This window comes from Homo sapiens, chromosome 7 (genome assembly GCF_000001405.40).
Source record: "Homo sapiens chromosome 7, GRCh38.p14 Primary Assembly".
Classification (NCBI taxonomy): Eukaryota; Metazoa; Chordata; class Mammalia; order Primates; family Hominidae; genus Homo; species Homo sapiens.
The window spans coordinates 5,045,860-5,073,254 of record NC_000007.14 but is presented as its reverse complement, the minus strand read 5'-3'; the positions used below and the strand labels follow the sequence as shown (position 1 = coordinate 5,073,254).

Below are 27,395 nucleotides of genomic sequence, written 5' to 3'. Positions count from 1 at the left end.
GCACGGGCCCATCCCAAAAGGAAACAGCACCTCTAGCTAAGAAAGAACTTTATTATTTCTAATAAATGCATCTGGGGGTGGGGTCTGGAGAGGGCACACGGCCGTCCCCTGCCAATGCGTTGAGGCCCACACTCCTTGGGAGTGGACAGGGAAAGCCCCATGTTCCCCGGAGCCTGTCGCCGTGGCCTGCAGCCCTGGACGCCTCTCACGGAACCGCAGGTCTTCCTCCCCGGCTTTCTGGTCGCGTGGCCACCACAGCCCCATCAATACAGCCAGAGCCCGGGGCCAGGTGTGAGTCTGCCCGCAGCTCTCCGTCTCCGCCAGCCCCGACTCCTGGGGAAGGGGATAAAGGGGGACTTCCTGGTGCTGGCTAGAAAGGGTGATGCTCTTCAGCCAGGCAGCCCCCTGGTCCTCTGTGCTGTCGCTGTGCCTGGGGGAGGGGGGGCATCGGGGACGCTGTCCCTGTCCCGCAGCAGGTGCCCTGGGGGTTCCAGGTGTGTGGCCGGCCTCGAAGCCAAGGGGCCCAGCAGCCCAACCCATGTTCTCCACCCTCTGACCCTCGGGACCCCACCAGTCATCCTCCCACCCCTGTCTGGTCCCTTGTCCTTATCCAGTTCCCTGTGCTGGGTCTGTAGTGCCTCATCTTTCTGTCTCCTCTATTCCTTTCCCTGCGTCCCTGACTTCCTCTCTTCCCGTCCATCCCCCCGCCCCCAGTCCCCTTCCTCGCCCCTCCCCTCCAGCATGGGGCGGTTGAAACCTTGGAGCAGGTTCTGAAGGCCTTCCTGGGTGTTAGCATCCGGGTGGGGAGCGGCTTTGGCGGTGGGGACCGGGGCGGCCGGGAGCAGCAGCAGCAGCAGCAACAGCGGGGGCCACATGGCCTGCGGGCAGGGCGGCTGTCGGGGGACAAGGTGGGCGTTAGGGGCCCCGCCCCCTCTTCACGCCCTTTCCTCTCTGCCCTCTGGCTTCTGCGTGCCAGGCTCGCACGTCCAGCACCCTTCACCTGCCCCCACGGCCCGCCTATGTCTCCCGAGCAGCCCTGAGTTAGCCCACGGACCAGTCACCGGTCTCCGGCTCCCCAGGGATTGTTAGATCCGGACAGTTCTGCCCCAGAGCTGCCCTGGAGCTCGGACGCCTCCACGAGCCTGAGCCACGCCCTCGAGCCCGAGCCACGCCCGCCCACTGTTAACGCCTCACCCAAACCCCTACGCATGACCACGCCCTAGTACAGAGCTACACCCATTCTCGGCCACGCCCCCAGAGTCACGCAGAGTCTCCACTCACCAGCCAAGCCCCCACTGCAGAAGACCACGCCCCTGAGCACAGCCCTGGAGACCCACGCGGGCCTGGCCCTCTTCCGTGATCCCCAGTCCAGCCCCAGTGCAACAGCCCAGGCCCCCGAGTTGAGCCTCATCCAGCATCCAGGCCAGCCTCTGCCACCCTCAGCATGGAACACAGTCGTTTCCGGTCCCTCACTCTCGTTCATTCTCCATTCTTCTTGAACATACGGGGAATATTCATAGTAGCTGTTTTAATGTCCTGATCACTAATTCCATCATCTATGCCATTTCTGGGTCTTTGTTATTTTTCTACTCATTATGGGTTCTGTTTTTCTGCTTCTTTGCATGCCTGTTTTTTTTTGTTTTTGTGTTTTTGAGACAGGGTCTCACTGTTGCCCGAGCTGGAATGGAGTGGCATGATCATAGCTCACTGTCGCCTCAAATTCCTGGGCTCAAGCGATCCTCCTATCTCGGCCTCCTGAGTACTGGAACCACAGGTACACGCAGCCATGCCCAGCTAATTTTTAAAATTATCTTTTGTAGAGACGGAGTCTCACTATGTTGCCCAGGCAGGTCTTGAACTCCGGGCCTCAAGAGATCCTCCTGCCTCAGTCTCCCAAACATTACCAATATATTCTTATTTCTTTGAGAGTCTTTAGCATAGGTGGTGCAGTTTGTTCTTTGGTGACTGAGTTCCTCAAATGTCTGGTTATTTTTGCCAGAACTCATTTTCTCCAGGGAAGTGCTGCAATCTTGCCTGGAAAGAAAAAATAATCACATAGCTACTTCCTGGTACAGGTTAACCCCATTTCTGCTTTTTAGAGGGGGTTTATAGAGGATGTTGGCTGGGCTCAGTGGCTCACGCCTGTAATCCCAGCACTTTGGGAGGCCAAGGCGGGTGGATCACCTGAGGTCAGGAGTTTGAGACCAGCCTGGTCAACATGGTGAAACCCCATCTCTACTAAAAATACAAAAATTAGAGCCGGGAGCAGTGGCTCATACCTGTAATCCCAGAACTTAGGGAGGCCGAGGCGGGCGGATCACGAGGTCAAGAGATCGAGACCATCCTGGCTAACACGGTGAAACTCCGTCTCTACTAAAAATACAAAAAATAAGCCGGGCATGGTGGCGGGCGCCTGTAGTCCCAGCTACTCGGGAGACTGAAGCAGGAGAATGGCATGAACCCGGGAGGCGGAGCTTGCGGTGAGCCGAGATTGAGCCACTGCACTCCAGCCTGGGCGACAGAGCAAAACTCCATCTCAAAAAACAAAAACAAACAAAAGACACACACACGAAATAAATAGAGATGGGGCCTGGCTGTGTTGCCCAGGCTGCTCTTGAACTCCTCAGCTCAAGATCCTCCCACCTCAGCCTCCCAAAGTGCTGGGATTACAGGTGTGCCTGGTCTGCTTCCCTTCTTTGAAGAGCCTAGCATCCTCATATCTGGACATAATTTGGGATGGAATAAGGAACAGTGGGTGAATTTTTGGCCTCAGGTATAAAGTAGTAGTCTTGCATTTGTGTCTTTTGCCATAATTTAGAGACAACATTGAAAAGTTCGCCAACCCCAAGCCAAGCACCAGCAAATGTGGGCGTGGGGGGAGAAAATCTGTGAAATGGGCACTTCCGGTGGGGGTGAAGGGCGAGCCCCTGCCTTGCTTACATACTGCCTGGTGGTTCTGGCCAAAGGAGTGACAGAGCAAAGGGAGCCATTGTGGGGGAATCACACCCCCAAGTCCCAACCAACTCCCAGATTCCCCCTCCTTCAGCAAAGCATTAGTCACCTGTTCACACTTCAGCTCAGCTTAACCCTCAATGAGTAAGGTGGAATGAAAAGCACATGGCCGGACGAGGTGGCTCACTCCTGGAATCCCAGGACTTTGGGCGGCCAAGTTGGGTGGACCACTTAAGCCCAGGAGTTTGAGTCCAGCAACACAGCAAGACGCTGTCTCTACGAAAAAAATAAAAAAATTAGACAGGTGTGGGGGCATGCACCTGTAGTCCCAGCTACCCAGGAGGCTGAGGTGGGAGGCTCGTTTGAGCTCAGAAAGTCGGGGCTGCAGTGAGCTGTGATTGCACCACTGCACTGCAGGCTGTGGTGAGAACTTGACTCTAAAAATAAGAGAAAGAAAAACAAAAAACAAATGCCTTCCCACCAAAAAAAAAAAAAAAAAAAAAAAAGAGGCACACAGTCTATGCCATCCAATGTCACGTCCTTCTTGCTGTGCTTTTACAAGCTCAGCCAGCCCTCACCCAAAGTGTTTTTTTTTTTTCAATGGTGCAAAGTTTTGCTGACCTGTTTCTTTCACTCACTTACATCTGGGCTGTTAACTGTGTATCTGAGATTTGCTCAAATATTTAGCTGAATACTTTTAAAATAATTTTCCATCAAATCCAACTCAGCATTATATTCATTCACTGCCAAGAAAGGTCACCCCTACAGTAAAAGTTAAGATGAATCCCGAATTCAGAAATGCAAAAAACAATTTGTTTAGGGAAATATGAAATGTTACACATTAGCTTCTTTATTGAAGAGGCAGCTCAGACCTATTTATATATGCAAAAGTATAGGATGACAAAGTATGTAATGATTCTTTAACCTTCTCAAATATTTCACTTAAAATATACATTATGCTAAGCTTTAAGGACAGCGTAGGAAATCTTAGTAGTTGCCATCAAAATTACTATAAATATGTATTTCCTGCACAGAATTATGCAAAATCTGCCATTTAATTCCTGTTGTGCAGCATATTCATACACATCTAGAAAAATATGATTAGAGTGATGAGCGACACAAATGTTAGCCATTTGTGATTTTAGAAAACTTTTATGGAAAGTTTAACACACATGCAGAAAAATACACATATCTTAAGTGCACAGCTCAAAACACACTCAAATACTTAGCACCTAGGTTTAGAAACAGATTATTCCCAGCACCAGATAAATGCCCCCTTTCAGCCTTGGCCAAGGCTAACTGCTACCCTAATTTTAAACCACGTATACAAGTTTTGCCCGTCTTTATAATTTATATAGAAGGAATCATACAGCATGTTGGCTTTTGTGTCTGGAGTCTTTCATTCAGCAAGGTTTGTTAAATTCAGCTGCGTTATTACACGGACTTCTAGTTCATTCATGCTCACTGTTTTACAGTATTCCATGGACATATGCCACTTCTTTATTCATTCCATTGCACATGTGCCTTAAGATAGTTCTGTTTTGTGCAGTTTTAGGCTATAAATATTCTAGTGCATGTCCTTTGGTGGACAGACACATGCATTTTTGCTGGGTTTGGGTAAAACAGTATACATATGCTTGGCTTTTAGTGCCAGCTTTCAAAATGGTTTTATCGATGAGCAATTCCACCAGTAGTGTACAGTTCCTCTTGCTTACATCCTTGCCAAAACGTGATGCTTTTTCATGCTTTTCATTTTAACCATTTCCATGGATGGGTAGCAGTGCTACATGTTTTAAGTTTGCATTTCCCTGATTACTAATAAAGCTAACACATCTTTTCATGCTTATTGGCCGTCTGGATATCCTCTAAAGTGAGTGGATATCCTCTAAAGTCTTTTGCCTTTTCCAGTTTCCCCCTTGTTGATTTGTAGGTGCTCTTTACATATTCGAGATCAGGGACCAGAAAACTATGAGTGCAGACCAAATCCAGACTGCCACCTGGGATTGTGAATGGTTTTACTGGGAAGCAGCCATGCTCATTTTTTTTTTAATGCATGGTGTATGGATGCTTTCACACAATAGCAAAGATGAGCAGTTGTGACAAAGCTGAAAATTTTCACCATCTGGTGCCTTGCTTTATAAAGTTTGCCAACACTTCTGCTATACTCGGTGCTGTTGTCACATACATGAACTGCAAATATCTTCTCCTCCCCATGATTTCCTGTTCATTTTCTTACTGGTGGTCTTTCTGATAAATAGAAGTTCTCAAATTTAATATTAAGTTCTAATTTTATGGGTTAATGCTTTTTGGGTCTCAATAAACCTTTGCTTACTCCAAGATTACAAACTGTCCTAAGATTTCTTTGTAAAGCTTTCACATTTCATATTCAGATCTGCAATCCACCTCCAAATAACTTTTTATCAAATTACAAAATTTTATTGGCAAAGTACATTTACTGGAAAGAACACCCTTTCCCCCACTACACTTCAATGTCACCTTTCTCAAAACTCAGGTGATGGTATACACGTGGGTCTACTTTTGAATCTGTATGCTGTTCCACTAGTCAGTTTTTTCATCCTTGTGCCAAATTAACACCTTCATTATTTCTATGGCTTTATAACAGGTCTTGATATTTAGAAATTTCAATCCTCTCTGTCCATTCTACAGGATAGCCTTGACAATTATTCGACTTTTGAATATGCATATGAATTCTAGAATTAGCTTGTTAATTTACATTAAAGAACTTGCTAGGATTTTAAGGTTGCAATGAATTTAGGAAAAAGCAATAGTTTTGAGATTGTCCTGGAATCCTATCCCTCTCCTCCTTTGTAATTTTATTTTCTGGATACAGTTCTTCAAAGCATATTAACTCATTTTCTCCCTCTAGGCACTTGAGGGATCTTTGAAGTGGCATTGCTTTTCAAAATTTCATTTTCCATGTTTTTTGCTGGTATATCATAAAATGCTTTTTGCATAACTTTTATGCAGGGAACTTACCAAATTTACTCATGGCATCTGCAAATAGAGATTTATATTCTTTTTCGTTTTTAAAGTTTTACTTCTTTTCTAATCTCTATGCCTTTTGTTTCTCTTCCTTGCATTAGTTTTCTGGTTAGGTCCTTCTGAACAATGCCGAATAAAATCATTGACAGCAGATATCCTTGTCTTATTTTTATAATCTTAGGAGAAATGTTCACTATTTCATCATTAAGCATATTGTTTGTTGTAGTTTAAGTCTCTTTATGCAGTTAAGTAAGTCCCTTTCAATCCATCATTTGCTAAGATCATAAACGAACATTAATTGTACCACAAGAATGTTCTGCATGCCAGATTACTTTTCTACAGGTGGTGTATAATAGCAACTGACTTGTGAATATTAAGCCACCTTTGCATTCCTGGAACACAATCTATTTGATTACCATTTTACCTTTTCCCAGAACAAGTCCATCTTTGTTTTGTTTACCCAGTATCAGGTCATATGACCACTATAAAACAAGTTACTGGCAAAGAGAATGAAATCATTATTATTTTGACTAATCAGGATTCCCCTGTGTCATGTGAAGAAGTGGTAGGTACCTAAACTGTTCCAGCAAGAAATGGAGCGAGGACATTAAGTTAATTGATCAAAAAATATCTGCTAGAAACTTGAATCAATTTGTTCTGAAATACTGGGAAAAAGGAGAATGCACAAAACAATGACACTGTATTTGTACCAAACAGAAGTTTGTGAATAAAATTTCTAAATTACAAAATATTGGCACTAGGCACACTCAAACCTATGGGTTAAAAAACAAGGGTGGTGTGAGAGCTGGGGATATTTTAGAGTATGGGCAGTATGCTTGTTCTCTTTCACTGAAATAGACTTAAACAATTCCAAATTATGTATGTATAGTTTATCAAAATAGTCTTTTAGAAAATCTTATCTTACTCAGATGCAGTTGAAAACTTTACAAAACGACTGCCTCCTGTACTAATGAGGCATTTGTTAAAAACCCATTTGTAAATTCCTCTAAATAGAAAACTAGGTATTTTACCATTTTATACCTATTAAATATTATCTCACCAACAATATGTCCTGTCTTAATACATTTTGCCATCCTAATACTCAAATAAGAAAACTGCCTCTTCACAAGTCATCCAATTCCAAACTTGCATAGAATTACCATTAGATTGCATTTTTAAGACATGATAAAAAACGGCCATATACTTATTTAATGCTACTGTCCTCATGATCAACTCCTGACAATTTAAAAACTTCATTTTATACAATGAAGATTTATTCAGAGCTCATAGCCTCTGAGATCTTTCCTGTAAACACCTGATTTTCCATTAGAAATATGGCTTTTACAACAAATTTCCAAGACAATATATTTTCCACATTCACCATATTGACAGATTTTGCCTTTGTATGATTCCCTGATATGTAAATACAATTTGAATCCAAAATAAATATTAAATATTTATAAAACTTCACTCCTATATAAATTAGTGTCCGATGAGTCGTATGATCTTGCTGAAGGCTTTGCTTCTTGTTACATTCTTCGGGATTCTTCTCTGTGAAAATTTGGATTAAAATGACTCTAATGCCTAAATGCTTCTCACCGTTCAGGAACACGAACTCTCAGATAAACGCTTTGACTTCCTATTGGATTCCCCATATTCATTATATTCAGAGAGTTTTCTAAAAATTGAGATCTGACTTCAGAGATTTTCCACATCAAGTACGTTCATATTTCCTCTTCTATGAATTCTCTGATGGCTATTGAAGGCTGATCTGTGGTGGAATTTTTTCCCACACTCGTTACATTCATAGGGTTTCTCTCCTGAATGAGTTCTATAGTGTACAGTGAGGTATGACTTCTGAGAAAAGACTTTCCCACATTCATTACATTCATAGGGTTTCTCTCCTGAATGGCTTCTGTAGTGGACAGTGAGGTTTGACATCCGAGAGAAGACTTTTCCACATTTACTACATTCATAGGGTTTCTCTCCTGAATGAATTCGATGATGTATAGTGAGATATGATTTCTGAGAGAAGAATTTTCCACATTCGTAACATTCATAGGGTTTCTCGCCTGTGTGTACTCTTTGATGTCTGAAGAGGGATGAATTATGGGAAAAGGTTTTCCCACATTCGCTACATCCATAAGGTTTCTCTTCTGAATGACTTCTATAATGTTCAGTATAGTATGACAACTCATTGAATAACTTTCCACATACATTACATTCATAGGATTTCTCCCCTTTTGGAAGTGGCTGGTGCCCATCGAAGGCTGAATTTACAAGGAAGGTTTTCCCACATTCATTACATTCATAGGGTTTCTCTTCTAAATGAGCTGTATGATGGTCGGTGAGATACAACTGAGAGAACTTTCCACATTCACTACATTCATGGGATTTCTCTTCTGTGTGTACTTTCCGATGTCTAATGAAGGCTGAATTTAAATTGAAGGTTTTGCCACATTCATTACATTCATAGGGTTTCTCTTCTAAATGACTTCTATAATGTATAGTGAGGTATGACACCCGAGAAAAGAATTTCCCACACTCGCTACACTGATAGGGCTTCTCTCCCGTGTGTGTTCTCTGATGTGTAATCAGAGTAGACTTTCGGTAGTAGGATTTCCCACATTCATTACATTTATAAAGCTTCTCTCCCGTGTGAGTTCTCTGATGGTCACTGAGAGCAGACTTGCGGGAGAAGGATTTCCCACATTCGTTACATGGATAGGGCCTCTCTCCTGAATGATTCCTCTGGTGCAGGGTGAGATGTGTCTTTTGGCAGAAGGTTTTCCCACATTCGCTACATTCGTAGGGTTTCTCTCCTGAATGAGTTCTTAGGTGTTGAGTGAGGTGTAACTTCTGACAAAAGGTTTTCCCACATTCATTACATTTATAGGGCTTCTCCTCTAAGTGTGATCTCCGATGTACAGTGAGGGTTCCCTTTTGGCTGAAGGATTTCCCACATACATTACATTCATAAGGTTTCTCTCCTGTGTGAGCCCTCTGGTGGATGATGAATTTTGACTTTTTACAGAAGGATTTTCCACATTCACTGCATTCAAAGGGCTTCATTTCCATTTGTGATCTCTGATATGCATTAAAATTTGACATCTGTATGAAGTCTGGTCCAGAATCATTCCACTCATAGGGCTTCTCCCCTATGTAAGCTCTCTTATGAGCAATAAAAACAGCCTCATTGTCTAAGGCTTCCATGCATTCATTATATTCAAAGGGTTTCTCCAAAATACTAATTTTCTGAAGAATATTTTCTTCATTGTGAGAATAGGTATCCCCATTTTGATTAAATTCACACATTTTCTCTCCATGATATGTTTTCCCACATTCATTACACTCATCAGGTTTTGTCCTAGCATAGCTTCCATCACTACTAATTAATTGCGAAATAGATTCTAAATTCTTTCCACATGAGACACAATTATGAGCTATTATGCTTGAAGGAACAAGGCTTGTTTCCATGTAAATTTGACTAAATGTATTCTCTTTCTCTTCAGTCAGGGTTTTGCTATTGATACAAGCAGCTTGCCTTGAATGTTTGTCTTCGTTTTCTTGGATTCTCTCTATCAGGTCATCAACTCTCCAGGCTTCTAAAAAGGAAAAATAGTAAACAAACTTTGTAAATCTGAACACACTAGCTATGGAAAGGTACTGGTATTCAAGAGCCCCCATTGTGGGGTTGACTCTGGCTTTAGAGCCAATCTCCATAAATAAAAATAATTACAAATGCATAGTTCTCTTTTTCCTTTGGTTTGGAATACAAAACAGAAACACACACACACACACACACACACACACACACACACAGTGAAAGAATTAAGGTGAGACAGTGGTAGAAAATAGAAGAGTAAATTCATATTGAATACAGGTAACTTTGTTGCTTTACAAATATTATGTTTCAAACTTTGGTAGAAAAGGTGAAATAAAACCAAATGATGAGCAGAGAAGTGGTTGAAAGTACGTCAGATCCAGGCAAAGATGGGAGGACTTAGATCAAATGTGTTGTGGGAAGTCAGGGACCCCAAACGGAGGGACTGGCTGAAGCCATGGCAGAAGAACATGGATTGTTAAGATTTCATGGACATTTATTAGTTCCCCAAATTAATACTTTCATAATTTCTTATGCCTGTCTTTACTGCAATCTCTGAACATAAATTGTGAAGATTTCACGGACACTTATCACTTCCCCAATCAATACCCTTGTGATTTCCTATGCCTGTCTTTACTTTAATCTCTTAATCAGCTGAGGAGGATGTATGTCGCCTCAGGACCCTGTGATAATTGCGTTAACTGCACAAATTGTAGAGCACGTGTGTTTGAACAATATGAAATCTGGGCACCTTGAAAAAAGAACAGGAAAACAGCAATGTTTAGGGAACAAGAGAGATAACCTTAAACTCTGACTGCCGGTGAGCCGGGTGGAACAGAGCCATATTTCTCTTCTTTCAAAAGCAAATGGGAGATATATTGCTGAATTCTTTTTCTCAGCAAAGAACATCCCTGGGAAAGAGAATATGCGCCTAGGGGTGGGCCTATAGATGGCCCCCTTAGGTGTGGCCGTCGTCTATGGTCGAGACTGTAAGGATGAAATAAATCCCAGTCTCCCATAGTGCTCCCAGGCTTATTAGGAAGAGGAAATTACTGCCTAATAAATTTTGGTCAGACCGGTTGCTCTCGAAACCCTGTCTCCTGATAAGATGTTATCAATGACAATGGTGCCTGAAACTTCATTAGCAATTTTAATTTTGCCCCGGTCCTGTGGTCCTGTGATCTTGCCCTGCCTCCATTTGCCTTGTGATATTCTATTACCTTGTGAAGTATGTGATCTCTGTGACCCACACCTGTTTGTACACTCCCTCCCCTTTTGAAAGTCCCTAATAAAAACTTGCTGGTTTTGCAGCTTGTGGAGCATCACAGAACCTACCGACATGTGATGTCTCCCCCGGACGCCCAGCTTTAAAATTTCTCTCTTCTGTACTCTGTTCCTTTATTTCTCAAACCAGCCGATGCTTAGGGAAAATAGAAAAGAACCTACGTGACTATCGGGGCAGGTTCCCCGATACAAATGGGATCAGGAGGAACAAAAACAGGTGCTAGGTGTCCGTGCAAAGGAAAGACTCCATTATGGATTACATGTGGGAGACATCTATTACAATTTATATTAAACTGCAAGATATCACTTCATATCAAGACTACGATGGTGGCATCCCTTCCAAAATCCATGCCTTACTAGTCTGCATATAAATGCAAATAAGCATTCTGAATGCTTTGATTTCCTCACGTTTACAGAGAGGATTCACATTCATCTGGAGGAGAGATCCAGGCATGTGAATGTCCAAAAGAAACATAAGATAGACCAGAAGACAAGGTATCTGTTTTTTTTTTTGTAGATGGAGTCTCGCTCTATCACCCAGGCTGGAATACAATGGCACCATTTTGGCTCACTGCAACCTCCACTTCTCAGGCTCAAGCGAATCTCCTGCCTCAGCCTCCCAAGTAGCTGGGATTACAGGCACACGCCACCGCACCCAGCTAATTTTTGTATTTTTAGTAGAGATAGGGCTTCACCATGTTGCCCAGACTGGTCTTGAACTCTTGACCTCAGGTGATCCACCCACCTCAGCCTCCCAAAGTGCTGGGATTACAAACACGAGCCACCGTGGCCGGCCAGGGAATATCTTAAAAACAAGATCATGCCGGGCATGGTGGCTCATGCCTGTAATCCTAGCACTTTGGGAGGCCAAGGTGGATGGATCGCCTGAGCTCAGGAGTTTAAGACCAGCCTGGGCAACATGCAAAACCCTGTCTCTACTATAAAAAAAAAAAAAAAAGAAAAAGAAAAACAAAACAAAAAACCCAAGATCAGATCTTTGAAGTGTTTTGAAAGTCATATTTAATACTAGCTAACCTTCCTAGCCATTAAATTCTGCTTTCCCTGCTTGCACAATATAGCACAGTGGTTAAGAGCATGACCACCAGAGCAGGTCACCTCAGTTCAAACCCCCAACAATTTACTAACTAGGGCATTTGGTCAAGCTGTGTAACTGTGATGCAGTTTCACTCATCTGAAATGTGAATATGAGTGCCTAAATCATAGGGTTGTCAAAGGACTGAATTAGTACATGTAAACTGCTTAGAACAGTTTATAACATAAAACAAATGCTCATTAAGTTGAGCCATTAATTTTCTTTCAATTTGCTGACTTAAATTTCCTAAAACCAGTCATGTCTCTGTATAATTCTTTTACTTAATTCTGAATACAAACAAGAGTTCCCAAACTCCTGGGTTTCATTTGGTGTAAAATCTTATATCTCAGATTCCTAAAGCTGCCCCTATGATGTACTTTTATTTTTATGTATCTTACAAATTTTTGGATGCACAAACTATTTTTAGCTGCTATCACCCACATTCAATGCAACCCTGATGGTACTCTGCTCAGAAATCTACAACATCTCTGAGCTCCAGCACCCCAAACACCAACAGAAGAAACAGAAAGGTTATTAACGGGATTTTTCACTACTTGGACTCACAATATATATCCAAGCTAGCATTCCACTAATCTGTCAACATCTTCTGCTCCTGGAAGCCTAGGCTATGCCTTGCTTATTCTCAGCCACAAGTCTGTACTCGTGATCTTCCTCATTCAATTTGACTCCTGGTGTTGGCTATACTCAAAATCTATCTATACTTTGGGGGAAACTTGAAGACATTTATCAAATCTCTTCCCAGTTCATTGAATCTCTTTCCCTTACATTTTAAAATAGCTTCTTAAAGTTGCACAATGTGCATTGGAGTATAAATTATCCATGTGAAAGCTGAATTTTAAAGTAATTCATGCAGCTTTTATCTTATTTCCTAACCAAAACCTATGCCCTTGGAAAATATTCATATTTTCTTTGAATCTCTCTGAATAGAAATTAAAGTAGTTCCTAATCTGATGGGTGCTTACAGGTTCTAATCTAACCCCTATCTGTTTTATCAGAATCTGTGGTTCAGAATAAATGATCTCTTGATGGATTAATGATAAAGATCTTTCTTTTACCTAGCTCCTTGGTAAGTCAATAAAAACCTACTGAATGCCTACTGTATGTTGCATTATAAAAGCAAGAAGAGTAAAAAGGTCTTTCCTCTTTGGAGGACTATAATTCGGTAGAAGAAGCTCAAGCAACAAATATATGCACCTACCTCTCAGAGCATATAATCATTTAGAGTATATATTCCTATCAAAGCATAGAATCACAGAGCATATACTCCTATCAGAGCTTATACTCAGAGCATATAATCCTAACAGAGCATATACTCATAGAGCATACACTCCTATCACAGCATATAATCCTATCAGAACATATAATCTTTGAATATATAATCCCATCAGAGTTTATACTCATAGAGCATACACTCCTATCAGAGCATATAATCTTAGAATATATAATCCTATCAGAGCATATAATCACAGAGCACACAATCTTAGAGCTTATATTCATAGAGCATACACTCCTATCAGAGAATATGATCTTAGAGCATATAATCCTATCGGACTGTAAAATCATATCTAACTTTTTGAGGTAACAATCGCTGACTGGAATAGATATTAAGAGAAGGAAAGACTGGAGTGGTCAATGAACCATGAAGGAAACTTCAAGGAGCTAACCTTTTCAGTTCAAATGTAAAGCATAAAGTTCTAAAGTTTATTGCTCAACAATGCAAATACAGTTAACATTACTGTATACTTAAAAATGGTTATGATGGTAAATTGTATGTTATGTGTGGTTTTTTTTTTAATAAAAATATAAAAATTAGCCAGGCATGGTGGCGTGCGCCTGTAATCCCAGCTACTTTGGGAGGCTGAGGCAGGGGAATCGCTTGAACCTGGGAGGGGGAGGCTGCAGTGAGCCGAGATCATGCCATTGCACTCCAGCCTGGGCGACAAGAGTGAGACTCTGTCTCAAAATGGAAGGAAGGAATGAAGGAAGGGAGAGAGGGAGGAGAGGAAGAAAGGGAGGGAAAATATGTATTATGTGGGCAAGTAAAATGCAGATGAAGGAAAAGGACAATGATCATTTGAATGGAAGATGGATCCACTGAAATCCAGGTATGGGAGAATACTGAACACGAATGTCGAAAGAAACAGAATGTGCTGACGCTCTGCCAGGCATTTCACAGAAGACAAAGAACACAAACCATGGAGACAAGACTAGCACAATCAAATACTGGGAGGTGAGGAAGGTAGACAGAATTCATGATTTTGGAATGTGCACAGTTTATCATCAGACATTCTGAGAAAGAAGGAAGTGAACTATCTCCCTGGTAACTGCTATGTTGTCAAGTAAAATATTCAACTAGACTCCAGGTTAAAAGTGTCAGACGTATCAATTTGGAGGCAAGCTGCAAAAATACACAGGAAAAAAGGTCTTAGAAGGTGAGATTAGATAAACTCTTTTAAGGGATACAAAGAAAACCAAAAAAGTGGAAAACAGGTCCTAGGGGGACAGTCCTGAAAAGGCAAGAAAAGGAACCGACATTCACTTATGAAATTCACACTTCCTGAATGTCTACTATGGACAGAGCATGATTCCAGTTATGGGGAAGGGGAAATGAACACACAGACGGGTCATGAGCAGTGGGGAAAGAGACGAAGGCTGAGGGAGTGCTATAGCGTCACATCAACTGAGCATGGACTTTGGGAAATAACAGACACCACAAGCTGTGACTCAGTTCACAAGCATAGGTGGAGGATGAGGTTTTGGTATCTGAATGCCTAAAGAAGTAAATAAAATCGAGGGCAGAAAATAAGTCCAAGGTATTTTTAAAGCAAGGAAGGAAAGAAAATGGAAGATAAAAGGAATGAACATAAAAGTCTCAAGTTGATTTTTATGTCAGACTTCTGAATGCCCCAAAACAAAACAATTCTGTAAGGCCGGGAGCCTCAGGACTGTAATCTCAGCACTTTGGGAGGCTGAGGTGGGCAGATCACTTGAGGCCAGGAGTTCAAGACCAGTGTGGTCAACATGGTGAAACCCTGTGTCTACTAAAAATATAAAAATTAGCCAGGCGTGGTGGCATGTGCCTGTAATCCCAGCTACTTGGGAGGCTGAGGAAGGAGAATCGCTTGAACCTGTGAGGTGGTGGTTGCAGTGAGCTGAGATCATACCACTGCACACCAGCTTGGGTGACAGAACAAGATTCTGTCTCCAAAACAAACAAACAAACAAACAAACAAACCCAAAACAATTCTGTAATGGCAAGGGAGTAAATAAGTTACCAATAATGCTGGAGAAAGAGGAAGTGAATGGGTCTCCAGTACCGGTTAGAATGAAAAAATCCCTACCAATGTAAATCAAATGTAAAATCAACAAAAGAGTTCATGTATGTGTGCGGGAAGGAAAGTGATATTTGGGGGTTGGGAGGTGTTACTGAGGGTACTGAATACATATAAACAACTCTTTAGTCTCTCCCAAAGGTCTGGGATGAGCATTTTTTAACCTTTGATACGCTACTAACTTACCTGGACTATGTTGACATGGAAATTCACCTCCCATTATCCACGGCTCCTCTCCCTGCTCCAACTTAATGATGACGTTTGGCTTGGTGGTATCATATCCTGTTAATGGGAAAAGAAGGAGGACTTGGGGAAGCTGCTTGGCTTCAGAATCTCTGAAGTACAAGATGTTGCCACCTCATAAGCTGCATAACAGAAGTGCTCCATTTTTTACCTTATCAAAGTTAGAACCTTTCAATGAATAATAATATAAACACTCCAGCTAGTGCCCACAAGGAATTAAATGGTGTCATCACTTATTTCTTCAAACTCAAGGATAAAACCCCATTCAACTGAGAGCATTCAGAAAGCAAGCTATTCTCACCCACAGAAACTAGATGGCTATAGTTCTCCAACATCACATCCCTGTAAGTTATCTTCTCATCAGGGTCCAGCTGCTGCCACTCCTCCTGGGTGAAATCCACAGCCACATCTTTGAATGACACTGGCCCCTGTAATGGCAACATGATCAGAATTGGGAGATACGGAAAAGGGATAGGGGGATAACGTTTTACAAAGCCCACCGGTAAAGTTAACCATAAACATTGTATACCTTATTTTATGTTACAGATTATGGAAGGGAAATCATATTGGAAACACATATCCTTTGGGGTTATAATACATAATATATAAAATATATAATATATATAAATATATATAATATATATAAAAAATATATATATATTGCCCCACAAAAATAAAAACCCAAAACACAACTGAGCTCCTATTTTGCAAGTGAACTAGCTGAGCTTTGGGGACATGAGATGAGTGAAACACCATGCCTGCTCCCAAAGTGAACAACCTAAAAAGGAGATAAACATGTAAACAAACACAAGCATTTTACTCCTTGTCACTTCTTTTAGTCTTCCTTGCTGCCAGGCCCTCCCCTTGCCCTGGACCTCTTCATGTTGGAGTGCCCACCACTCAGCTCCTGGTCCTCTTCCTCCTAACTCACTGCTCTGGGGCTCTCACCTAGTTTCAGCTCCTTGTTCTTTTGGCTCTTTTATTCTCATAGCCAGTGGCCTCTGGCTATCTGCATGGCTGAGTTTTATCTCAAACATCTCAATCTTGGAGCAATAAATATTCGTTAAATGAATGAATGCCCAAAGCTGTTATTAGAGTAATGCAGACAAGGTGCAGAATGATTTAACAAAAGAGGATCAAATTATTTTAATTTTATGCCATCAGATTAGGCTTCACAGACTCAGTTAACTTGAAGTCTTTAAAGATGAATTGTGCATTCTATGGGATGAAGGGGAAGAAGAATATGATGAGGTGTACAAAGTACCAATGGCAAACGGGAAGCAGCTTCAATTTTTAAGTGGTTGGGGCTGGGCATGGTGGCTCATGCCTATAATCCTAGCACTTTGGGAGGCCAAGATGGGAAGATCGTTTGAGCTCAGGAGTTCGAGACCAGCTTGGGCAACATAGTAAGACCTCATCTCTGCTAAAAATAAATTAAAAAAAAAAAATTGGCTGGGCATCATGGCACACGCCTGTAGTTCTAGCTACTTGGGAGGCTAAGGCAGGAGGATCACTTGAGCCTGGGAGGTCAAGGCTGCAGTGAGCTGTGAATGCAACACTGCACTCCAGCCTAGGCAACAGAGTGAGACCTTGTCTCAAAAAAAAAAAAAAAAAAAAAGAAAAATGCAAAACTCCTGGGCTCCAGCAATCCACCTGCCTTGGCCTCCCAAAGTGTTGGGATTACAGGCTTGAGCCAGCACGCCCTGCCCAAACTTGTAGTTTAGAAAAAGGAAGTGCCCAGTAAGCAGGCTGCATTATCCTATTATTTATAAAGAACATATCAACAAGGGGTTCAAATCCAGTGATACAGCTAGGACCATGTAGATCCCAAGAGATAGCAGAGGCAGGGCCGCTAGGCTGTGGGCTGAGAAACTAAAGCAGAACATCCAAGCTTATCCACAGTCAGGCCACAGGAGCTGATAAAATCACCGAGAGAGAGTAATAACCTTCTGGGTTAAGTTAGTCCAGAAGGCAAGGAGGTAGTAGGGGTTAGAAGACTGATCAACCAATAAATAACATAAAATTACATGCCAATACCACTTACATCAATACAAAAACCCAAAATGAAACATAATCAAACAAAATCCAGTACCAGATTAAAAACATAATATACAATAGCCAAATGGGACTTATTCCAATAATATAGACTAGTTTAATATTTGGAAATCTATTAATATGATAAGCCACTATAACACAGCAAAGAAGAAAAATCTTGTATCCGTGAAGATACCTGAAAAAGCTTGACAGAAAAAGCTGATTTAAAAAAACAAACTAAAGAAAATAGAAACTGATGGATACTTCATTAACATCAATAACATGTATATACACAAATATAAATATTGCACCCTAATATGCAATAGTATGTATGATATATATGTGACATATGTATTTCAATTACACACAAGCACATATATATACAGTTTGTGTGTATATACACGCACGCACACACACACACACACACACACACACACACACATTTATGCCTCAGTCTTCTCGGTCCAAAAGTCAGGATTTTACTTAACAGGGAAAAACTACATACCTTCCTACTAAGATCAAGAACAAGGTATTAATAAAATGCTCATTATCTACAATTAGAGAAGATAAAACAATTAGAGGAATATAACTAAGAAAAAGTAAAAGTGCTCGGGCACGGTGGCTCACGCCTGTAATCTCAACACTTTGGGAGGCCGAGGCGGGCAGATCACCCGAGGTCAGGAGTTCAAGACCAGCCTGGTCAACATGGTGAAACCCCCATCTCTACTAAAAAACAAACAAACAAAAAAAATTAGTTGTATTATTAAGGTCAACTTACCCTACCTAGGGTAAGTCAGTTACCCTAAATTACTTTATAAATATGCAACCCCAGTAAAAATACCAAAAAGCTTTTTCCTGGAACTAGATAAGCTGACACTACAGTTCATATGAGGTGGAAGAAAATCAAAAACAGCTCAGGGAAAAACACCATTTGGACATGGACAAAACTGGATCCAGGCCAGGTGCAGTGGCTCATGCCTGTAATCCCAGCACTCAGGAAACTGAGGCAGAAGGACTGCTTGAGGCCAGGAGTTTGAGACCAGCCTTGGCAACATAGCAAGACCCTGTCTCTACAAAGAAAAAAATATATATATTAGAAAAAATATATATAGAGAGAGACATGAGGACTTCTGCCCTCAGTTGTGATAAACTAACAGGTACTGGATATACCCTCCAACCTGAAATGGCACATAACAAAGAACAGCAGCAACAACAAAATCAAAAACAGAAAGAAAAATAAAACGGAGAACATATATGAAGCAATGGTTTTTTTTTTTTTTTTTGAGGCAAAGTCTCACTCTTGTCTTCTAGGCTGGAGTGCAATGGCACAATCTTGGCTCACTGCAACCTCCGTCTCCCGGGTTCCAGCGATTCTCCTGCCTCAGTCTCCCAAGTAGCTGGGATTACAGGCGTGTACCAGCATGCCTGGCTAATTTTTGTATTTTTAGTATAGAAGGGGTTTCACTATGTTGGCCAGGCTGGTCTCAAACTCCTGACCTTGTGATCTGCCCTCCTTGGCCTCCCAAAGTGCTGTGATTACAGGTATGAGCCACCACGCCCGGGCTGAAGCAATGGTTTTCAAGGCACTGATTATCAGGCAGTAGAGTTATCTATGAGTGATGGGAAATAAACAAGGTGAACCAATCAACTTCTGCCTTGAGTGTTTCCAGGCCACAGAGCAGGGAAGAAGAACAGAGACAGATGTGAGGTGTAAGAGTTGCGAGATGGGAAAATGGGCAGGAAATTACAACCATAAGGAAGAAAAGAATCAGTCCATCAAAACTGGCCCAGAATTGACAGAGTTTACAACCCACACAGAGCACTGAGAGAGTTCATCATTCTATTCCACATGTTCAAAAAAATTGAGACAGGCAAGATGTAAAAAAGACCCACGCTAACCTTCTACAGATAGAAACTACAATATCTGAGATGAAAATTATACTGGACAAGATTAACAGCATCGTGGAAAAAAGAGATTAGTGAATATAAAGACAGCAACAGAAGTTACATAAAATGAAACAGAGAAAAAAGAATTAAAAGCAAATAAAGAGCAACAGTGTGTTGTGGGAAAATTTCAAGTGGCCTAATATACAGGCAACAAGAATCAATGGAGGGGAGGTGGTGGGTATGTGAAGAAATAATGATAAAAATGTTCCCAAAGTGATGACACCATAAACCCAAGATCCAAGAAGTTCAGTGATCCCCAAAACAGAAACATGAAAAAAATGATACCATGACATATTGCAATCAAATTACCCAAAACTAGTGATAAAAAGTTTACAACATAAGGGGGGAAAGAAAAAAAGACATGTTATATACAGGGGAACAAAGATGAATATGAGATCAGATTTCTCTTAGAAAAAAATGTAAGCAGGAAGACAATAGAGAAACATATTTAAAGCACTGTGGAGAAATATCCAGCAGAAACACCTTTAAAAGCTAAGACACAATGAAGACATTTGCAGACGTACAAGAATTCATCAACTAGAAGAAATGTTAAAGAAAGTCCTTGAGGCAGAAGTAAAATGACAGCAAATAAAAATTTAGATTTACACAAAGGAATGAAGAGTACCAGAAATGGTAACTGTGTATTTTCTCTCATTACTTAAATCTTTTTAAAAGATAACTGGGCTGGGTGTGGTGGCTTACACCTGTAATCCCAGCACTTTGGGAGGCTGAGGCAGACAGGTCACCTGAGGTCAGGAGTTTGAGACCAGCCTGGCCAACATGGTGAAACCTCATCTCTACTAAAAATACCAAAATTAGCCGGGTGTGGTGGTGGGTGTCTGTAATCCCAGCTACCCGGGAGGCTGAGGCAGGAGAATCACTTGAACCTGGGAGGCAGAGGTTGCAGTGAGCCAAGATCGCACCCCTGCACTCCAGCCTGGGGGACAGAGTGAGACTCCAACTCAAAATCAATCAATCAATCAATCAATCAATCAATCAAAGATAACTGTTTAATTAACAACAACGTAATAGATTCTGTGTGGCACTGATACCACCTGTAAAAATAAAATGAACAACGGTGTAAAGACCAAGAGGAGAGAAATGAAAGTATCCTATTGTAAGCTTCTCTTACTCTAAGAAAAATGGTATATCACTTAAGAATAAACTATGATAATTAAAGTTGCATACTATAAATTCTAACTCACTAAAATAACAAAACAGTGTGATAGCTAAAAACTCAACAAAAGATATAAAGTAGAATCATAAAAAATTATCAATTAATCAAGAGGAAGGAAGACAAACAAAGACATTTTAAAAAGAAACAAAGAAGATGAGACTAAAAGAAAGCAAAGGCAATGGACTATAACCTAACTAGTTTTATCAATAATTACATTACATGTAAACAGTCTATACATCCCCAATTATGAGGCAGAAATAGACTGATGAAAACAAGCAAGATCCAAATCTTGCTGCCTACAAGAAATAATACTTTAGATATAAAGATGCAAATACGTTATAAGTAAAAGGATGGAATAAGATATACCATGCATGCATTACTCAAAAGAATGCTACATAAATAACAAAGTACATTTCAGCCTGGAATACTAGCAGGGATAAGGAAGGCCATTTTACAAAGTGGTTAATTAATCAACAGGATGTAATAACCTTGAACATTTATGTATCTAATATAATACATAAAGCAAAAAGTGGTAAAATTGCAAAGAGAAAGAGAACCACAAATGCAGCAGATTTCAATCCCCTCTCCCCAACAATTGATACAAGTAGGCACACAATCAACAAGGATATAATACACCTGAACAACACAACCAACCAACTTGATCTCATTAACATTTATCAAACACTCCACCCAACCAGAGCAGAACAAGCCATCTTCTCAAGCATGCACAGAAGTTTCCCAAGACAGATCCTATTCTGAGCCATAAATTTAAGAGGTCCCATGTAGTGTTCCAGACAAAAATTCACCAACTAAATCTAATCATGAAGAAAGATCAGGGAAACCTAAATTTAAAGACTTCTATAATATCATTGGCCTGTATTCTGCAAATATTATAATGGCACTGAGGAACAAATCCGTATTAAACAGCCTTAAAAAGCATGAAAACTAAAGGCAATTGACAGTCCTAGACTGAATCTTCTACCAAAAATTAAAAATTGCTATAAAGGAAATTATTGGGAAATTGGCAAAACTGGAAAATGAACTACAGTTTAGATAAAAGTATTAAATCAATGATAAATTTCCTGAATTCAATTACTGTGCTATGGGTATTTAATAGAAAGTTCTTGATTTTATGAGATATAATCTAAAACTTTATAAGGTAAAGAGGCATGACAAATCATACCCACTCTCAAACAGTTCAGAAAAAAAATATATAAAAATATGTACACACATATATGTATATATGCATATAAATGATTAATGTGGGAAAATGTTAAGAATGAAGTATCTGAACAAAAGGAAGTAGCTGGGATTTCTTTGTAAAATCCGTGCAATTTTTCTGAAAATTTGAAATGATTTCAAAATAAAATGCTGAACAGAAAATAATGCTATCAAATATATATTGTATGTATAGATTTGCTATCAAATATATCAAATATATTTCAAAAGGACTCAGAAACCAACTTAAAGGGATTTTGTCTGGCCAAAGATGGAGCCATTTAATTTTCAAAAAGAATCACAACTTTGATGTACTGAAATATTTACTATCTGTTTAAACCCACGAGCTCATAATGGTAACAAAACAAAAAAACCTTCCTGCTTAGAAGCCTACTCAACATTTTAGAAACTGTCTTTCCTGCATGAATTACATAACCAAATAGAGAACAGAAATTTATCTTTAGAAAAGTATTCTAGGCCAGCTGTGGTGACTCATGCCTGTAATGCCAACACTGGGAGGTCAAAGAAGAGGATCACTTGAGCCCAGGAGTTCAAGACCAGCCTGGGCAACATAGCAAAACCTGTCTCTACTAAAAATTAAAAAATTCGCTGGGCATTGTGGCACATGACTATACTCCCAGCTACTTGGGAGGCTGAAGTGGGAGGATCACTTGAGCACAGGAGTTTGAGGCTGCAGTGAGCCGTAAACACGACAGCCTGGGTGACAGAGTGAGACTCTGTTTCCAAAAAAAGAAAAGAAAAGAAAGGTATTTTGGCTAGTAAATAAAGAAGAAATGGTAGAATTAGCACATCACCATTTTGCCTCCCCTAATGAACTAGTAAATCACAGCAATAATCAACAGTCAATAGTTCTTAAGTTCACAAAAACAAAGAAGGTAACACATGCCTCCAGAAGTAGACAAATGCCACGTACGGTACAGCTGTGTGAAAAGAATTGAACATAAACCTGATTAGACTTCCAGATCAAACTACCAATTTAACAAGGCATAAAAGATATATTTTTTAAATGTGCTAAAGGTGAAACAAGGGTAACACAATCCAAACTGAGGATAACCAACCCAGTTTCTTCAAAACAATGAGCACGCAAGAGACATAATATAGGAACTATTAAAAGATTTAACCCAATTGCCACATGTATTAAGAGAGTATTATGGGTTATTCCTAGCCCCTTTCAAAAAGATTCCTTATTAGCCAGGTGTGGTGGCTTACACCTGTAATCCTAGCACTTTGGGAGGCCAAAGTGAAAGGATTGCTTGAGGTCAGGAGTTTGAGACCAGTCTGAGCAATACAGTGGGAATACATCTCTAGGCTGGGAGCAGTGGCTCACGCCTGTAATCCTAGCATTTTGGGAGGCCGAGGCGGGCAGACTGCCTGAGCTCAGGAGTTCAAGACCAGCCTGGGTGACATGGTGAAACCCAGTCTCTACTAAAATATAAAAAAATTAGTCGGGTGTGGCAGCTTGCGCCTGTAGCTATGCAGGAGGCTGAGGCAGGAGGATCGTGTGAGCCCAGGAGACTGAGGTTGCAGTGAGTTGTGATCACGTCTCTACACTCCAGCCTGGGTGACACAGCAAGACCCTATCTCAAAAAAAGAAAAAAAGAAACAGAACAAAACAAAACAAAACAGACTTCATCATTTAAAGACAAGCAGAAATACTTACAGACGAATCTTTTTAAAAGCCAAGAAAAGAGAGACTCCATGGAGAAAGTATCAGTTTGGAAGTAACAGATGTCAAAGGCAGACAAAGGGTCCTGGGAGGTAGGGGCTAGGAAATCCCCTCTGGATTTGACTGCAATGAAATCACTGGTAATCTTTACAGACTGACTCAGCAACGTGAAAAGGACAAAACTAAAACACTGAGAACTGAAATGAGAAACAGAAATGAGGAAATCTTCACAAGAGAGTAACTGTATTGTTTGCTGTGCAACCCAAACTGAAAGACGAACAAATATTTGAAGGATGATCATGTCATTCATTCCCCCCATGATCTAGGACTCAACAGTAAAAACAGAATTCTGTCTACTGGGATCACAATGTTTCCTTCCCTGGAAAAATTATATGCACCAAGTTCTCCTTGGGCAGCAGGCAGGCCCTCTGCTTACATAAGCACCAAGAATAAGCCATAAGTTATGGTAACTTAATGGTTGTTATTAGGAAAGCTATCCGCAATTATATCAACTTGAATGAAGAAATTTTTCCAAGTCCTAGAAAATCTTTTAAATCCACAAGTAACAAAGTTGGTTTCTCCTTATAATGAATGCAAATGATGTCATGGATGGTGATATGGTTTCGCTTTGTGTCGCCAACCAAATCTCATGTTCAATTGTAATCCCCAATGTTGGAGGTGGGGCCTGGTGGGAGGTGATTGGATCATGGGGGCAATTTCCCTTTTGGTGCTGTTCTCCTGACACTCAGTGACTTATCACAAGACGTGGTTGTTTAAAAGTGTGTAGCGCCTCCCCCTCCCTCTTCCTCCTGCTCTGGTGATGGAAGATGTACCCGCTTTCCCTTTGCCTTCCACCATGACTGTAAGTTTCCTGAAGCCTCCCCAGCCATGCTTCCTATGATAGAGCCTGCAGGCGTGAGCCAATTAAACCTCTTTTCTTTATAAATGACCCAGTCTTGGTTATTTCTCTATAGCAGTGTGAGAATGGACTAATACAGATGGCATTTTCCTTTTGTGATGACTGCCAAGAATATCAGTCCTGGGTGCGGCTCAATTTCAACAGCCTTAAAATCTACTATCCACACATACAAGCTTCACAAATCATTTTTGGTGCTGATCTGCCACACTAACTATATTTTACAGGACAATGTCTATTTCCACATTCCCATTTTAAAGTATGAATCCTGGCTGGGCGCGGTGGCTCATGCCTGTAATCCCAGCACTTTGGGAGGCTGAGGCAGGAGGATCACCTGAGGTCAGGAGTTTGAGACCAGCCTGGCCAACATGGTGAAACCCTGTCTCTTCTAAAAATACAAAAAATTAGTTGGGCATGGTGGCGCACGCCTGTAATCCCAGCTACTCGGGAGGCTGAGGCAGGAGAATCGCTTGAACCCAGGAGGTGGAGGTTGCAGTGAAGCGAGATCATGCCACTGCACTCCAGCCTGGGCAACAGAGCAAGACTCCATCTCAAAAAAAAAGAAAAAAAAAAAGGTAAGAATCCTTACAAACCTCTTAAAATGCATCATAAAATAAAGTTGAGGAACATATACACAAGCATGAAAACTCACCTGCAATGTGTTCATTTTCTGCTGCTCTTGGAAACGTGCAGAGACTGTGGCTGGTAGACCTAGAGGGGGAGAAGCAGGTCACTGAAGTCATGAGTGCTCTGGCCTGCAAAGGCAGGAATCTCCTGCGTAAGAACCACAAAAGAAAGCTCAATAGGCTAACACCCTGTGAACACTCAGCCTGCAAACACTCAGAAGGGCCTAAAAGAGTGATACAGGGTTTCGCCATGTTGGCCAGGCTGGTCTCGAATTCTGGCCTCAAGTGATCCGCCTTCCTTGGCCAATATGGCGAAACCCCATCTCTACTTAAAAATAACAAAAAAATTAGCCAGGCATAGTGTCACATGCCTGTAGTCCCAGCTACTCAGGAGGCTGAGGCACAAGAATCCTTTGAACCTGGGAGGTGGAGGTTGCAGTGAGCCGAGACCACACTGCTGCACTCCAGACTGGGTGAGAGACACTGTCTCAAAAAAAAAAAAAAAAAAAAAAAAAAGAGAGTGAAAAAGAGTGATAGGCGAAGCATGCACTTGTAACTTTGTAACTCTAAGATAATCAGGTAGTAATCAGATGAGTGAGACTCTCATGGGTAACATGACTCCTTTTACAAATAGTCTGCCATCATCAAATACAACCTGCAAAAAGAAAAAAAAAATTCCCATTATACAGCTCATGTTTTTTGTGGTTTGTCTGTTTGTTGAGACAGGGTCTCAATCTGCCACCCAGGCTGGAGTGCAGTGGTGCATTCACAGCTCACTGCAGCCTCGACCTCCTGGCCTCCATTGATCCTCCCACCTCAGCCTCCTGAGTAGCTGGGACCACAGGTGCATCCCAGCATGCCTGGCTACTTTTGTATTTTTTGTAGAGTCAGGGTCTCCCTATGTTGCCTAGGCTGGTCTCTAACTCCTGGTCTCAAGGGATACTCTTGCCTTAGCCCCCGCAAAGTGCTGGGATTACAGGTGTGAGCCACTGCATCCGGCCCGCATTTTCTTATTGTCTCTTTAAACTGCTTAAAATCAAAGAAGCCATAGGAATTGAGTATGTGAGCTCTCAGAAATGAAATGAATGTGTATAAAATATGGTTTTGTTTCTAAATTATCTAACTGAACTTGGTTATTGCTGCACCTAATAATCTTCTATTAAGAAAACTAGGATACGGGAGAAAGAACACTGGCCTGGGAGATAAGACTCCTGAGTTCTACTATGAGCAACTCTACCCACAAAGCCAGTGACCCGGTCAAGTCACCCACCTGCTAAGGCCCAGTCTCTTCCCCTAGCAACTGAGGCAGCAAGAGAGAATCCCTGCAGACTGTTCCTGCATTACTACCAGTCTCCAGGGCAGATCTAAGGGGGGAATCAGCAGACACTTAAATGAGAGAACAGAGGCGCTGACGGACGTTTAGAGGAGGTCGAAATCTGGAGCACGGAAAGGAGGAGGAAGGGCTGTTAGGGGTTAGCGGGGAGTGGAGACGACGTCCGCAGCTGAGGCTGGTGACACCCTCCAGGCCCCCATAAGCCTCGTCCTCCCAGATTTCCCATGCAGCGCCTGTTCGGTGCAGCCGGACCCTGCCCTCAAACCCAAACACACGTCTCTCCTGCAAGCGATCGAGACCCTCCCCCTGCCCCACACTCTAAGGTCCCCAACACACGGTGACTTCACTCAGGCCCTTCTCGCTCCGGGCCCGAAAACCCAAGACCTACCCTTCTGGGGCTCCGCAGCCTCTGCCCCACGGCTCCCGAGAGGCCGGGGCGGGGCTGCTGTCGCTGGCGCGCGTCTGCTCGCGAGGTCCCCTCCTGTCCACCTCACTAAGGTTGTTCTGCTCCCGAGGGGCCCGGGCCGGGCCTAAGGGGCAAATCCAGGCGGGTGTCCTTCCCGGGACCCAGATCCGCCTCCCTCGGGCTCACCGTACAGCGGCAGCCTGGGCCAGGCCGCCAGGACACACACGGGCCAGGCCCGCGTCCCGCCGCCCCTTCGCCTCCGCCGCCACCTCCGCCACCTCCCGTCCGGCCCCTCTGGCCCCAGCGCCGCCGGCTCCGGGGCTCAAGCTCGGGGGTCCCCGCTCAAGCCTCCACCCGGCCCGCGCGAACCCTGGCCTGCACACCCCCGCGCCCGCCTAGGTGCTGGCCCGGGCGCTCAACCTCCAGCCCCGCAGGCTCCGCGATTCTCGTCCACTGGAGGCCAAAGCCTGGGAACTAGAGCAAGCGGTGACCTGAGGACGCACAGGAAGCGAGGGCAGT

The 27,395-nt window shown here is 42.1% G+C and overlaps 2 protein-coding genes and 1 long non-coding RNA gene across 4 annotated transcripts, besides 2 other annotated features; all 3 read right to left on the bottom strand.

The window, feature by feature from the left end:
• Positions 1-31: 31 nt before the first annotated feature.
• On the bottom strand, positions 32-1,195 carry RBAKDN (RBAK downstream neighbor). The gene is made up of 3 exons (NR_015343.2): positions 1,055-1,195; positions 758-893; positions 32-333 (listed from the first exon to the last, which is right to left on the bottom strand). It is a non-coding gene; the product is annotated as an RBAK downstream neighbor (long non-coding RNA).
• RBAK-RBAKDN (RBAK-RBAKDN readthrough) lies at positions 34-27,395 on the bottom strand. Its single transcript, NM_001204513.3, has 6 exons — positions 27,297-27,395; positions 25,164-25,222; positions 15,834-15,960; positions 15,476-15,571; positions 758-893; positions 34-333 (listed from the first exon to the last, which is right to left on the bottom strand). Exons 2-5 carry the CDS (start codon positions 25,176-25,178, stop codon positions 790-792), a joined length of 342 nt encoding a protein of 113 aa, NP_001191442.1. The 5' UTR covers positions 25,179-25,222; positions 27,297-27,395; the 3' UTR covers positions 34-333; positions 758-789.
• RBAK (RB associated KRAB zinc finger) lies at positions 3,768-27,395 on the bottom strand. Of its 2 annotated transcripts, NM_001204456.2 has the most exons (6): positions 27,297-27,395; positions 26,859-27,000; positions 25,164-25,222; positions 15,834-15,960; positions 15,476-15,571; positions 3,768-9,560 (listed from the first exon to the last, which is right to left on the bottom strand). In NM_001204456.2, the coding sequence occupies exons 3-6, from the start codon at positions 25,176-25,178 to the stop codon at positions 7,654-7,656; spliced, it is 2,145 nt and encodes a 714-aa protein (NP_001191385.1). In that variant the 5' UTR covers positions 25,179-25,222; positions 26,859-27,000; positions 27,297-27,395; the 3' UTR covers positions 3,768-7,653. The 2 variants fall into 2 exon arrangements, with proteins under 2 accessions (NP_001191385.1, NP_066986.1); NM_021163.4 differs by having other exon boundaries at positions 26,859-27,395.
• Positions 26,786-26,895: an enhancer, noted in NCBI's record as "active region_25569". NCBI's record gives its function as "activates an Ori minimal core promoter by ATAC-STARR-seq in GM12878 lymphoblastoid cells {active_cell/tissue: GM12878}" and the evidence as "EXISTENCE:reporter gene assay evidence [ECO:0000049][PMID:35858748]".
• Positions 27,046-27,255: a silencer, noted in NCBI's record as "silent region_17907". NCBI's record gives its function as "represses an Ori minimal core promoter by ATAC-STARR-seq in GM12878 lymphoblastoid cells {active_cell/tissue: GM12878}" and the evidence as "EXISTENCE:reporter gene assay evidence [ECO:0000049][PMID:35858748]".

Bases quoted from the DNA above. Each gene is read 5' to 3' on its own strand.
- RBAK (NM_021163.4), bottom strand. The intron at 15,572-15,833 runs GTGAGAATAGCT...TCCCATTAACAG, and splicing joins TAGCCATCTAGTTTCTGTGG to GATATGATACCACCAAGCCA. The intron at 9,561-15,475 runs GTAAGTTAGTAG...TTTCCTTTTTAG, and splicing joins TCCATGTCAACATAGTCCAG to AAGCCTGGAGAGTTGATGAC.
- RBAK-RBAKDN (NM_001204513.3), bottom strand. The intron at 15,572-15,833 runs GTGAGAATAGCT...TCCCATTAACAG, and splicing joins TAGCCATCTAGTTTCTGTGG to GATATGATACCACCAAGCCA. The intron at 894-15,475 runs GTAAGTTAGTAG...GTCCCCCGACAG, and splicing joins TCCATGTCAACATAGTCCAG to CCGCCCTGCCCGCAGGCCAT.